The sequence below is a fragment of the Homo sapiens genome, chromosome 1, assembly GCF_000001405.40.
Source record: "Homo sapiens chromosome 1, GRCh38.p14 Primary Assembly".
NCBI lineage: Eukaryota > Metazoa > Chordata > Mammalia > Primates > Hominidae > Homo > Homo sapiens.
The window spans coordinates 15220862-15234025 of record NC_000001.11 but is presented as its reverse complement, the minus strand read 5'-3'; the positions used below and the strand labels follow the sequence as shown (position 1 = coordinate 15234025).

Below are 13164 nucleotides of genomic sequence, written 5' to 3'. Positions count from 1 at the left end.
ACACATGCATTTGTCAGTTCATTACTGTGCTGTTCACTATAGCAAAGACATGGAATCAACCCAGGTGCCCATCAGTGGTCAGTAGATTGGATAAGGAAAATGTGGTACATATGCATTATGGAATATTATGCAGCCATAAAAAAGAATGAGATTGTGTCCTTTGCAGCAACATGGATGGAGCTGGAGGCCATAATCCTAAGCAAATTAACTCAGGAAAATAAAACTATGGCATGTTCTCACTTAGAAGTGGGAGCTAACCATTGAGCACACACAGACATAAATATATAGGGACAATAGACCCTGTGGACTCCTAGAGGGTGTGGGGGCAGGAGGGTTAAAAAACTATCCATCAGGGCCAGGTATGGTGGCTCACGCCTGTAATCCCAGCACTTTGGGAGGCTGAGGTGGGCAGATCACGAGATCAGGAGATCGAGACCATCCTGGCTAACACGATGAAACCCTGTCTCCACTAAAAACACAAAAAAATTAGCCAGGCGTGGTGGCATGCGCCTGTAGTCACAGCTACTCGGGAGGCTGAGGCAGGAGAATTGCTTGAACCCGGTAGGCAGAGGTTGCAGTGAGCCGAGATTGCACCACTGCACTCCAGCCTGGGTGATAGAGTGAGACTCCATCTCAAAAAAAAAAAAAAGAAAAAAGAAAAAAACCTACTCAACAGGTGGTGTGCTCACTGACAGTGTGGCAGGATCCATACTCCAAACCTCGGCATCATGCAGTATTCCCATGTACAAATCTGCACATGTACTCACTGTGTCTAAAATAAAAATTGAAACTAAAAAAAATGCTGGTAGTTTGGGGGCTAGAAGTAGCTAGAAATCAAATTAATCTTCACGTCTGCATTAGAAATGTCTTATAGAAGAGAGTTATAGTTTTTAATATAAACATATTGCTTCTCTATGGAAAAAAATTGGGGTTTATAATGGAGTTTTTTGAAACATACAACACAAAAGTAGGGAAAAGAGTACCATTAACCCCATGTACCCATAATCCAGCTTCGATACTTCTCCAATCTTGTTTTATCGCTTTTTTCTTCCTTTTTGATTAACTTCCTTTTGGATTAACTTAAAACACATTGTGTCATTTCATACATAAATACTTCCTGACTAAAAGGAGCTTCCCCACCTTTATGACATTATTTTCCCCATGACATTATCACACTAGCAATACTAGTAACAGTTCCTGAATATCGTCTAACATCCATCCATGCTCACACTTTCTTGATTCTCTGAGAGATGTCGTTGTATTGATGATTTGTTGACATCGGGATCTAGACGCCATCCACACGTTGTGTTTGGTTGTTATGTCTTTGAAATATTTTTTATTCCATAACAGCATCCCCTACCTTTTTCATACCACTGATCGGCTGGAGAAACTGGGTGTTTCGTCCTATAGAATATTCACACCATAGATTTGACTGATTGCTTCTTCATAGTTTCAATTAACTTATTCCTCTCTTCCCCATGTTTCCTGCAAACTAAGAGTGAAATCTCGAGGCCTGATGAGATCTGGTCTTCTTGTTGTCAAGACTACTTCATAGGCAGGCTGTTTGATTCCTCCTGTGTCACATCGTGGACATGTAACATCTTGGTTGGCCCTTTTTAATGATGCCAAGATGGCTAGGTAGGATCAGTGCTGACAGGCTGATCTGTCCATCATAAAGTTCTCATCAAATTTTTCTCCAGTGACTTTTAATTTTTATGTTTAATTTTTTTTTGAGATAGAATTTTGCTCTGATGTCCAGGCTGGAGTACAGTGGCAAGATCTCGCCTCACTGCAACCTCCGCCTCCTGGGTTCAAGTGATCCTCCCACCTCAGCCTCCCAAGTAGCTGGGACTACAGGTGCACACCACCATGCCTGGCTAATTTTTTTACTTTTAGTAGAGACAGGGTTTCACCGTGTTGGCCGGGCTGGTCTTGAACTCCTGACTTCAAGTGATCCTCCTGCCTTGGCCTGCGAAATTGCTGGGATGACAGGCATGAACCACCAGGCCCAGACAGTTTTTATTTTTAATTGTGGTAAAATACACATAACATACAATTTACCATGTGAATCATTTTTAGCGTACAGTTCAGTAGTGTTAAGTACATTTACATCATTGTGCAACCAACCTCCAGAGCTTTTTCATCTTGCAAAACTGAAACTCTGTACCCACCAAACACTAGCTCTGTAATTCCCCTTCCTCCCAGGCCCTGAGAAATATCATTGTACTTTCTGTTTCTATGAGTTTGGCTATTCTAGATACTTCGTATAAGTGGCATCACACAGTATGTGTGTTTGTGACTAGCTTATTTCACTCTGCAGAATGTCCTCAAGGTTCATCGTGTTGTAGCATGTGTCAGAATTTCCATCTGTTTTAAGGCTGAATAATATTTCATTGTATGCATAGACTATATTTTGTTTGTCCATTCATTCATCGGTGGACACTTGGGCTTATCAACATTTTTTTTTTCTTTTTTTGAGATGGAGTCTCCCTCTGTCACCCAGGCTGGAGTGCGGTAGCAAGATCTCGGCTCACTGCAACCTCCACCTTCCAGGTTCGGGCAATTCTCCTGCCTCAGTCTCCTGAGTAGCTGGGACTATAGGCAAGTGCCACTATGCCTGGCTAATTTTTTTATTTTTAGTAGAGATGGGGTTTCACCATGTTGGCAAGACTGATCTTGAACCCCTGACCTCAAATGATCCTCCTGCCTCGTCCTCCCGAAGTGTTGGGATTGCTGGTGTGAGCCACTGTGCCCGGCCTCATCAACTTTTTACCTAATAGTTTTAGCATTCTTTGAGGATCATTCCCTAGCTCCATTCTTTCCTTTGAGGTTGCAGAATAGTGATCTTTCTGATATTCCTTTGTTAATTATTGCTAGAATTCTTCTTCATCAACTGTCAATGCATTTTCTTCATCAACTATTATTATTATTATTATTTTTGAGACAGGGTCTCACTCTGTTGCCCAGGCTGGAGTGTAGTGGTGTTATCATGGCTCACTGCAGCCTCAACCTCCTGAGCTCAAGTGATCCCTCCATCTCAGCCTCCCAAGTAGCTGGGACCACAGGCACACACCACTACACTCAGCTAATTTTTAAACTTGTTGTAGAGACGCGGTTTCTCCATGTTGCCCAGACTGATCTCAAACTCCTGAGCTCAAGCATCCTCCAGCCTAGGCCTATCAAAGGGTTGAGATTACAGGCGTGAGTCACTGCGCCTGGCCAATTATATGTTTACCGTAAAACACAGTTTGTTCAGGAAAGGCAGAATAAATGATGGATTCTTTCCCTTTATGTATCAATATTCACAGTAACAAGCAACTTCCCAAAGTGACCAATGAGTTTTTAAAAGTATCATCAGGAATATTTGATTTGGAATTATGTAGATGTGTTTCAATCCATTGAAGTCACTATTTGGTTTGATGCTCACATGGTGCCAGCATCATGGCATTTGGGTTGGTTCTTGTGTTGTTTGTTTTTCTGGGTGGAAACAACTTAATATTTCATTATAATCATTTGTGTTTGTGAAGCATTACTGTGGTCTTTAGGGAAACATCTTTTTACTCGGTTTTCCTTTCCTGTACAAGGAAGCTGAGCAAGATGAACTCTAGAAGCATTTCTCTTTAAAATTCTACTTTTTATAGCATTTTGTAGCATATAATTTAACTCATTTGATTCTCCCAGTCTTGTGGCCCAACGCAATAATCAATATTTCGTTTTTCAAACATGGAAATTGCCGCTCAGATGACAATCTTTTTTTCCACTTCTCCATACTACATTCTCCCCGCAACCCCCCGTAGCCAGTAGACCTAAAGCTTCAGTTTGTACAGTTTTTAACCACGGGCATTTTGCGCCCTGACCCAGGCCCCCAGGAGACTTTTGACAATGCTTCGGGACATTTTTGATTGCCACACCTGGGCAGTGCTTCTGGCATCTAGTGGTGGAGGCTAGGGATGCTGTAAACTTCCTGTAAGGAACAGAGCAGCCTTCCACCTAGCCACGCCTTGCCCCATGTCAGGGTTACCCAGCCCAAAATGTCAATAGTGCCAAGGTTCAGAAACCCAGAGTTGAAGCAATACACAGAGATAAAATCATATTCCATTTAATTCAGTGTTTATTCACTGGAGGGGTGTATGATAATGTACACGTCTATGAAATTACTACCCAGGAAGTAGGAGCAAGGGATAGTCTGCCTTCAACATATGCGTAGGACTTAGTCAATGGTGTTCTTCTCCTCCTCCTCCCCCTCTGGTCTTATTCCTGGTTCCTATATTGCCCCGTGAGACCTTTCTATTATTGGCCTAAGGGAAGATGAGTGGATGATTTTTACTACTTTCAGCCATTGGAAAAATTTTAGGCATTAAAACTTTTTTAACTGGAAAAATAAACATCAAAATCAAGGTTTATTCCAAATAGCAGCTAGAATGTTTGTACTGATTTCTCCTTGCCAATTTTTTTTTTTTTTTTTTTTTTTGAGACAGGGTCTCACTGTGCTACTGAGGCTGGAGTGCAGTGGTTCTCCGTTCTCTGCAAACTCCACCTCCCGGGTTCAAGCGATTCTCCTGCCTCAGTCTCCCAAGTAGTTGGGATTACAGGCGTGCACTACCACACCCAGCTAATTTTTGTGGTTTTAGTAGAGACGAGGTTTCATCATGTTGGCCAGGCTGGTCTCGAACTCCTGACCTCAAGTGATCTGCTCACCTCCCAAAGTGCTGGGATTACGGGTGTGAGCCACCACGCCCGACTCCTCCTTGCCATTTTCATGGATTCAATGAATGTTTTAAATAAGCTTAGGATTACCTTTTAAAGTCAATAAAATTATTGGCCTCATATGCCCCAACTTCTCCTATAAAAGGTATATTCCTATTTCCTTTTCTCTACTGCATTTGTGCTGATTTAAAAAAAAAACAACACCCCAGTTGGTGCTAAATGAATGTACCATTGGTAACTTCTAGGACAGCATGACCCTTCCTGTTCAAAAAGTCAATTGGTGAACCAGTACTTTGAATCTGATTTTTTTTTTTTTTTTTTTCTGAGACGGAGTCTCGCTCTGTCACCCAGGCTGGAGTACAGTGGCGCAATCTCGGCTCACTGCAAGCTCTGCCTCCCGGGTTCACGCCATTCTCCTGCCTCAGCCTCCTGAGTAGCTGGGATTACAGGTGCCCGCCACCACGCCCGGCTAATTTTTTTTTGTATTTTTAGTAGAGACGGGGTTTCACCATGCTGGCCAGGCTGGTCTGGAACTCCTGACCTCGTGATCCACCCACCTCGGCCTCCCAAAGTGCTGGGATTATAGGCATGAGCCACGGCGCCCAGCCTGAATCTGATTTTTAAAAGGTAACTAATTTGTCAGAAACCAAAAGATGCAGCTTTCTCTCTCTCTCGGTTTAATTTTGAAAGCTGCAGCAATTAGGTAAGGTGGGGCATTTATTCACTGGCTTATGTCAAGTATTTATACAATTTCTTTTATGAACACACATACTTGACTTGTCATACTTTCCCCAAAAAATAAAAGAAGAATCTTGCTATCATGTTATTCCATTGTTTATCTCTCTTTTATGCTTTGTTAAAATAGATGCTAATGATTTTTCTTGACTAGATAGTATCACAAGGATACATTCTGAAATAAGACATCTTGAGAATAAACACTAAGAACATTTTCTTCTTCTTAAAGTTCCTGCACAACTCCTAAATTTTACAAAGTATTAAGCCCACAGGTGCGATGACTCATGCCTGTAATCCCAGCACTTTGGGAGGCCGAGGCGGGTGGATCACTTGAAGCTAGGAGTTCAAGACCACCCTGGCCAACATGGCAAAACCCCGTCTCTACTAAAAATAGAAAAATTAGCCAGGCATAGAGGCAGAAGCCTGTAATCCCAACTATTCAGGAGGCTGAAGCATGAGAATCGCTCAAGCCTAGGAGGTGGAGGTTGCAGTGAGCTGAGATTGCACCACTGCCCTCCAGCCTGGGCGACAGAGCGAGACTCTCTGTCTCAAAAAAAAAAAACAAAACAAAACAAAAACAAAAAAACGGAAAAAGAAAAAAACTCCACAAAACAAAGTACTAAGCCTAGCTTATCTCTCAGAATCATGCTGTATTATCTGATACTGTTTTTCTGAGAAGATTTATAACCCAGAAAAAGTCACGCTATAATTTTTGCTTCTGAAATTGTATTCCAGTTGTTTTATTTTGTTACATACCTTTCATTGGTTTTAAGTATGCTTTTTCAATAGTCCAAAATTTCTCAGAGTCTATTTGAATTTGTAAGTATTATACCATTATCTTTCCCACACCATTTATATTACAGTTGCTACATATCAGGTTTTTAATGAACAGATGTTGGGCTGAGAATGGATGGAGAAAAGGAGAAAGGAAGATAAATTTGTGCATACCATGACATGGAGAATTAGATTTGCAGTTCTGGGATGGGGCGAAGGACAGAAAAACAGTCTTGACAGGTTTTTAAAAGAAAAATGATAAGCAATGCAAGGATGATTGTTTCTTGCTTTTTTTTGACGGGGTCCACACTGAGTGGCCAGGCTGTATGACTGCAGTCCCCATGTCCAAGAGCATCTAGGACAGGGCTTCTCAACCTCCACACTAGTGACATTTGGGGCAGGATAATTCTCTGCTGTGGGGACTGTCCTAGGCGTTGTAGGAGGGTTAGCAGGATCCCTGGCCTACTAGATGCCAGTACCCTCTCCCCCACCACTGTCACATTGCCAAGTGCTGCCCGGGAGCAAAATCAGTCCTGGTGGAGAGTCACTGACCTAAGGTGAAACAGAGAGTTCTGGTGTTGGTGCAACTGTTTCACAGCCTTCCTGGGAGCGGAGAATGTTTCATTGCGTATGTTGTATCTGGGGGTTGGTTGGTTTGTATGGATGTGTGTTCCATCTGACTGTCTTCCTGGAATGTGCAGAGTTCCAGGGGCTGCGTGTCCCCTGGGAGACTGGTGTGGAGGAAACACGTGTGGCAAGCAGCCTGGTTGGCCCTGAGGAAACCTTTGTTGCAAGGGCCACGTTTTCAAGGCCTCTCGTGTAAGGATGTGCGTTCTCTCCAGTGACTTTTCTGGATGGTTGCATCCACATATTGTTTTTTTCCTCTGTCTCTTGGGGTCTTTTCCTCCCTCTCCTGGCCAGCCTGCTCCACGGTATCTGAAGAGAGCTGGTATCTGACTTCTCCATCCATTATTGGAGAATGTGAGATTGATGTGTTGCAGCTCACTGTCACGTCTCAGCTGCAGGCATTCCCAGACATCATTTCCCAGATGCATTGCTACGAAGAGACAGGGACACAGCTTTCCCCTGTTAGCCTGATGTGAAGGTACTTCTGAATGAGCTGGAGGTGACTCGAAAACCACCCCAGAGGGCAAACTGTCATCCACACAGATGGCAAAAGCTCGGGGAAGCATCCACTCCTCTTCATGGTGGGGGCTGTCACGAGGGGGGCAAGCCTCCCTTCAGAGGGGTGGGGTGGACACAGGAAGGTCTGCAGTGGGTCTGAGAGCCGGGAGGCCCCAGGCACCTGTGTCTGGCTTATCCTGGATCTACGGTCTTGACCACCTCCCGCAAGTTGTCAGGGGATGGGGTGATCTTAGTGGCTTGCCTTAGCTGGTGATCTGTGATCCGAATGCCACACAGTGAGGAGGCTAACGGATATCTTTGCCCACAAGCTGTGGGACTTTGGACAAGTGTCTTATCTTCCCTGGGCCCATTTCTTTCTGCTGTAGAAGGACTGTGTTTGGCTCAATCATCATTCCCTGTTGTGTGTTCTGGGAATGCTGGCCATGGAAAAGGCTTTGTGGGGGAAAAGGGCCTGTGTTAAACTGGTTTGGCAGATGTTATGTCCTGCGGTACCTCCTTTGAGATTTATGATGCACATGAGCATATGAGAGGCTCTCTGGAATTCTCTGCACCCAGATGCCCATGGGGCTTACTGCCTACTTTTCTCCAGTGCTACCCTCCAGAGGCTCTTCCTGATCACCCTGAAGGTGAGCCCCTCTCACCTCCTGTTCTTCACCCAGCTTTATTTTTCTTCTCATTTTCTGAGTTTATACCGTATACATATTTTTCATCCTCTGTTCGGGCTCCACCCAGAATGTCACCTCTGTGTCGGCAAGGACTTGGTCCATTTTTTTTTTTTTTTTTTTTTTTTTGCAGCTTTATCCAGAGCACCTGGCACATAGTAGGTGCTGCCACTTTCCATCTCAGCTTCAGGCATTCTTGGACATCATTTCCGAGGTCAGCTGCATTGCTGCAAAGAGACAAGCACACAGCTTTCTCCTGCTGGCTCGTAGGTGCGCAATAAAAATAGACTTTGTTTCACTCAGGGATTTCCAAATGGATCTAATTAGGGACTTTTCCACACCCACCCATTAAAATCCAGCAGAATACACTTGAGGAATCGCCAGGAAATCAAAAGTCCTGACAGCTGTGGCCTCCTGAGATTCACTGTCTTAGGACAAGCTGCTCCCTTCTGAATGTGCTGACAACATGGCATCAGACTGAAAACCAAACCAAACAGACTGACTTGACCACTCTCCATGATGGAGGGCCCAAGCCCTGGGCTAGGCTGACCCCGGGGGCTGCCTCAGTTGGCCTTCATTACGCGGCCTGGCTGCTGTTTCCCTGAAGCTGGCTTTCTGTGAAGATGCCTCACAGACTTGTGGCGTTTGGTGAATTTTCTCTGAACACACTTGTAGAAGTGAGTGTGAGGCTCATGCAGGGAGAAGCGCTTAGATCTCAGGTCAGTTTTCCATCCGACTGTGGCTTCATCACAGCTGCACTGTCCTACCTTCCTTCCCCTTCCCCTCCCTCCCCTCCCCTCCCCTCCTCCTTCCTTCCTTCCCTTTTTTTGAGACACAGTTTCACTCTGCCTTCCAGACTGGAGTGCAGTGATGCAATCCCAGCTCACTGCAACCTCCACCTCCCTGATTCAAGTGATTCTCGTGCCTCAGCCTCCCCAGTAGCTGGAATTACAGGAGTGTGCCACCACACCTGGCTAAATTTTGTAGTAGAGACAGGGTTTCACTATGTTGGCTAGGCTGGTCTTGAACTGCTGACCTCAAGTGATCTGCCCGCCTTGGCCTTCCAAAGTGCTGGGTTATAGGCATGAGCCACTGTGCCTGGCCCCCTTGCTTTGTCTGTGCCGGGTGCAGTGGGGGCACTTTACCTGTGTTGGTTTCAGGTACTCATCACAAAATGAGGAACTTCCATTTTGCTGGTGAAGAGATCGAGGCTCAGGTGGGAAGACTTTCTCCCACCCTCCATGCTTGCAGACATAACAAGGGCTGTCCTTCTGTAACTCCACACCAGAATATGCAGCATGGTTTGTCCTAGGAGCTAAATGGTCCTTGTCAGGGCCTTTACAATAAGAAAGAAGTCCACGAATCCTCAGAAGGGCTTTTCTTGTACTGCCTTTTAGAACCTGTGGTTCAGTTGATCCACACATTTCCAGCGATACAGCTGCGTCCCATTTTCAGTATCTCAGGACGCTTGTGGATTGATTTCGGCTTTGCCATCTCATGCTTGTCCATGCGGAAGTGAGTCATTTCAGGACATGTGGCTTCAAATAACAGAAGCCCACTCCAACTTGCTTAAGGAAAGATAGGCATTATTGAAAGCAGACTGGTGTGTTGTATATACCCAAAGGTCACAGTGTGTGGCCAGGCTCCCCAACCAGGAACTACAAAGCAGCAAATCTGTCTCTTTCTGTGGAGGGCTGTTTCCTCCGTGCCCTTCTGCTTCCTCCATCTCTTCCTGCAGGACTGGCTTTCTCTGTGCATGTGGCTACCCTGCAGCTTTCAAATGTATTGCACCCAGTTCAACTAGTCAGTCCCGAATGATCACCCAAAGGTGACTGTCACCCAAGGCCACAGGACCTGCTTTGGGAAGCAGTGCCCAAGCACGAATCTTCCCCATGAAGAGCAGGCTTTAGCTTCACTGCTGTATCCTGGAGCCTAGAGCAGTACCTGGCATCTAACAGGCACTGAGTAAGCAGTCGTGGAAATGGATGGATCCAGCTGGTTCAGCTGCACTCCCCAGGCAGTGGTCTACACTGCAGTCACAGTCATGCTCCAGTCTTGTGCCTTAAGCACCTGCTCGTGGCTCCCCTTCCCCAGAACTGCAACCAGTCAGAGGAAAGGAAAAATCAAAATCGAGGTTAGGTGGAGTACCAACTCTGGGCCCAGCACTGTGGACAATGGAAAGGCCATTCTGTCCTCAAGGATTTCAGTTAAATTCAAGATCAAAGCGGGCCAGGTACAGTGGCTCACACCTGTAATCCCAGCACTTTGGGAGGCCAAGGCGGGTGGATCACTTGAGGTCAGGAGTTCAAGACCAGCCTGACCAACATGGTGAGATGCCTTCTCTACTAAGAATACAAAATTAGCCAGGTGTGGTAGCACACGCCTGTAAGCCCAGCTACTTGGGAGGCTGAGGCAGGAGAATCGCTTGGGAGGCTGAGGCAGGAGGTGGAGGTTGCAGTGAGCCAAGATTGCGCCATTGCACTCCAGCCTGGGCAACAAGAGCGAAACTCGATCTCAAAAAAGAAAATAAAGAGAAGATCAAAGCTAAAGAAGGAAATTGACTGGGGGACACCATCTCTCAGCACAGTTGGGCTTCCCAAAGACCAAGGACCAGAAAGTCACCAGGAGGCAGCGGTCTCTGAGGCTCATTTTTCATGGCTGTGTATTTGAGCAGTTAACTCCATTCTCTGTCTGCAGAGTGGCTTCTCCTGCCTCACGTGTCCGTGACCCACCCTGATGGCCCCCAAACAGTCACCTAACCCCTGAGACCACATCACTCAGAACTGACCTCTCCATCCAAAGCTGGGCTCCTGGGAAAGACTTGCCTAGCCAAACTCAGCTTCTGATTGGTTCTCCCTGGGTATCCCGGATACATACCTCAGATCCAATCAGCTGTGACTTGAAAGCATGGATGTCACATGATCCCAACAAGCTGCTAAGATCTGTCCTTTTGAGTAGGGTGGGAGTGCTGAGTGGGACTTTAAAAAACTGGAATTCATTCAGATTTCTTCTTGCTGCTCTTTCATAGCCCTGGGGCCATTTGGGTTGCTACTTGCATTTCCCCCATGTTTGTGCTCTTATGTTTACATTAGGGACAAAAACATGATTGGGAGCAAAGAAAAGAACTAGTCTTCTGGTTCTTGCCTTCTTAGCTTCTCCCTTTTTTTTCCGCCTTCACTTCCCTCCCCTCCCTTCCCTTCCCTTCCTTTTCCTTCTCCTCCCTTCCCCTTCCCCTTCCTTTCCTTCCTTCCTTTCCTTCTTCCCTTCCCTCCCTTCTCCCTTCCCTTCCCTTCCTTTCCTTCTCTCCCTCCCTTCCTTCCCCTTTCTATTTATCTTCCTTCCTCCTTTCTATCCTTCTTCCTTTTTCTTCCTTTCTTCTTTTCTTTTCTAGTCCAAAGAGAAAGAGAGAGTCCTGAGGATGATAATGATAGCTCTGAACCAATAAACAAACAGGGCAAATGTGCTTTGAGGAATTTTGAGTAAAGGTGGCCTCCTGCTTTGACAGGTGGTTTTAACTCAGTACTGCAGAGAACTTCCTTGCCTCGAGGCACTATTTAGGACTCCAAACCTGTGGTTAAGGTTTCCAGCTAACATTCTTTCTGCCCATTTTAGAAAGAGGTGAGCCTAGGCTTTATATTGTGTATACCACATATCCATTATAATCCTCTGAATAATATGAATAATTTTCTACTTGATCATTTCCACACATACAAGCAGGGGTCCTAAATGCTATTTCCGTTGCACTCCTCTCTGTGGGAAGACTCATGAAGTGTTGAGGCCAAAGGGGGGCTGATATCGAGTGAGTTGAAGATTGAGCTCTGTATTGGTTTCCTATAACAAATTATTACAAACTTGGTGACCCATAACAACAGAGACTTGTTCTCTCACAGTTCTGGAGGCCAGAAGCCCAAAATCATATTAACTGGCCTGAAATCAAGGTGTAAGCGGGGACTGCATCCTTCAGGGGCTCTAGGGGAGAGTCCATCCCTTGCTTCTTCCTGATTCCGGTGTCTGCCGGCCTTCCTGGACTTGTAGATTGATCACTCCCATCTCTGCCTCTGGGATGACATTGTCTCCTCCTCTTCTGTATATACTCTCCCCGTCTTTTGCTTGTGAGGACATTTGTGGTTGGCATTAAGGGCCCACCTGGCAAACCCAGGACAATCCCATCATCTTCAATCCTTAATCACATCTGCAAAAACTTTACCATACGAGGTAATATTCACTGGTTCCAGGGATTAGGGTCTGATACCTTTGGGGACCACCAATCAGCCCACCCAAGCCTCACAACTCCTTCTCCCCCGTGGAGGATCTAGACTAGGGAGACACCCCAAAAGGTTTCTACCAGAAGCCAGATTGAGAGCTCTTCCAGAAAGTCATTTCTCAACTCATCTGGGTCCTTACTCTTCTCTTCTATTTTCCTCCCATTTATCCTCTGGTTTGGAAGAAGCACAGAAAGTAACAGGAAAGCAAGCCCAGCCCAGAGACATGAGACACAAAGAGCCATGGGTCGGCTCAGGAGTGGGCCGGGGAACGGACCAGGCCTCTGGGTGTCTGTCCCATGCCACAAAGCCAATCCCAACATCTCCCCTTTTAATAATGCATCGCATAAGGAAAGTGAAAGTTTCGAACTTTAGTCACTACTGCTAATCTTGAGATAAGAAGGTAACTCGGTGCCTGTCATCCCTTCCCTGTCCACCGGAGCTTGTTAGGAAAACATCTGGGCCTGGGAATTACTCTTCCAACCAGGTTGACACAGACTCCTCAGCAGGCTGGCTCCATGCCCACCAATAGCAGGAAGGCTTCCTTTGGACTTGGGTCTGTTTTCCCAGACACTCACTCCACGGTCAAGATCCTGACCCCAGAGGTCTCCATTCCCCTCCTATGTCCCCTCTTCAACAGCGTGCGATCCCCTGAGCATTTCTTATTCATTGCACTGCTTTTCTGAGCTGCATAGACTCACTTTCCCCCTCCAGGGGGACATGCTCACCCACCCCCTACACTTACATAGCCTGTCAGTTCTGGGGGCAGAGGACAGGCTGCACTGAGCTCCCTCCTGGGCCAGTTCTCAGCAGAGGGAGATAGGAAGGATGCCTAGACAGGTAGAAAGCTGCTGTTCAAACAACCAGAACTTTCTTTT

General features: G+C 45.9%; 1 pseudogene; it reads right to left on the bottom strand.

Annotated features, from left to right (window-relative positions):
• ZBTB2P1 (ZBTB2 pseudogene 1) lies at positions 6783-7662 on the bottom strand (annotated as a pseudogene).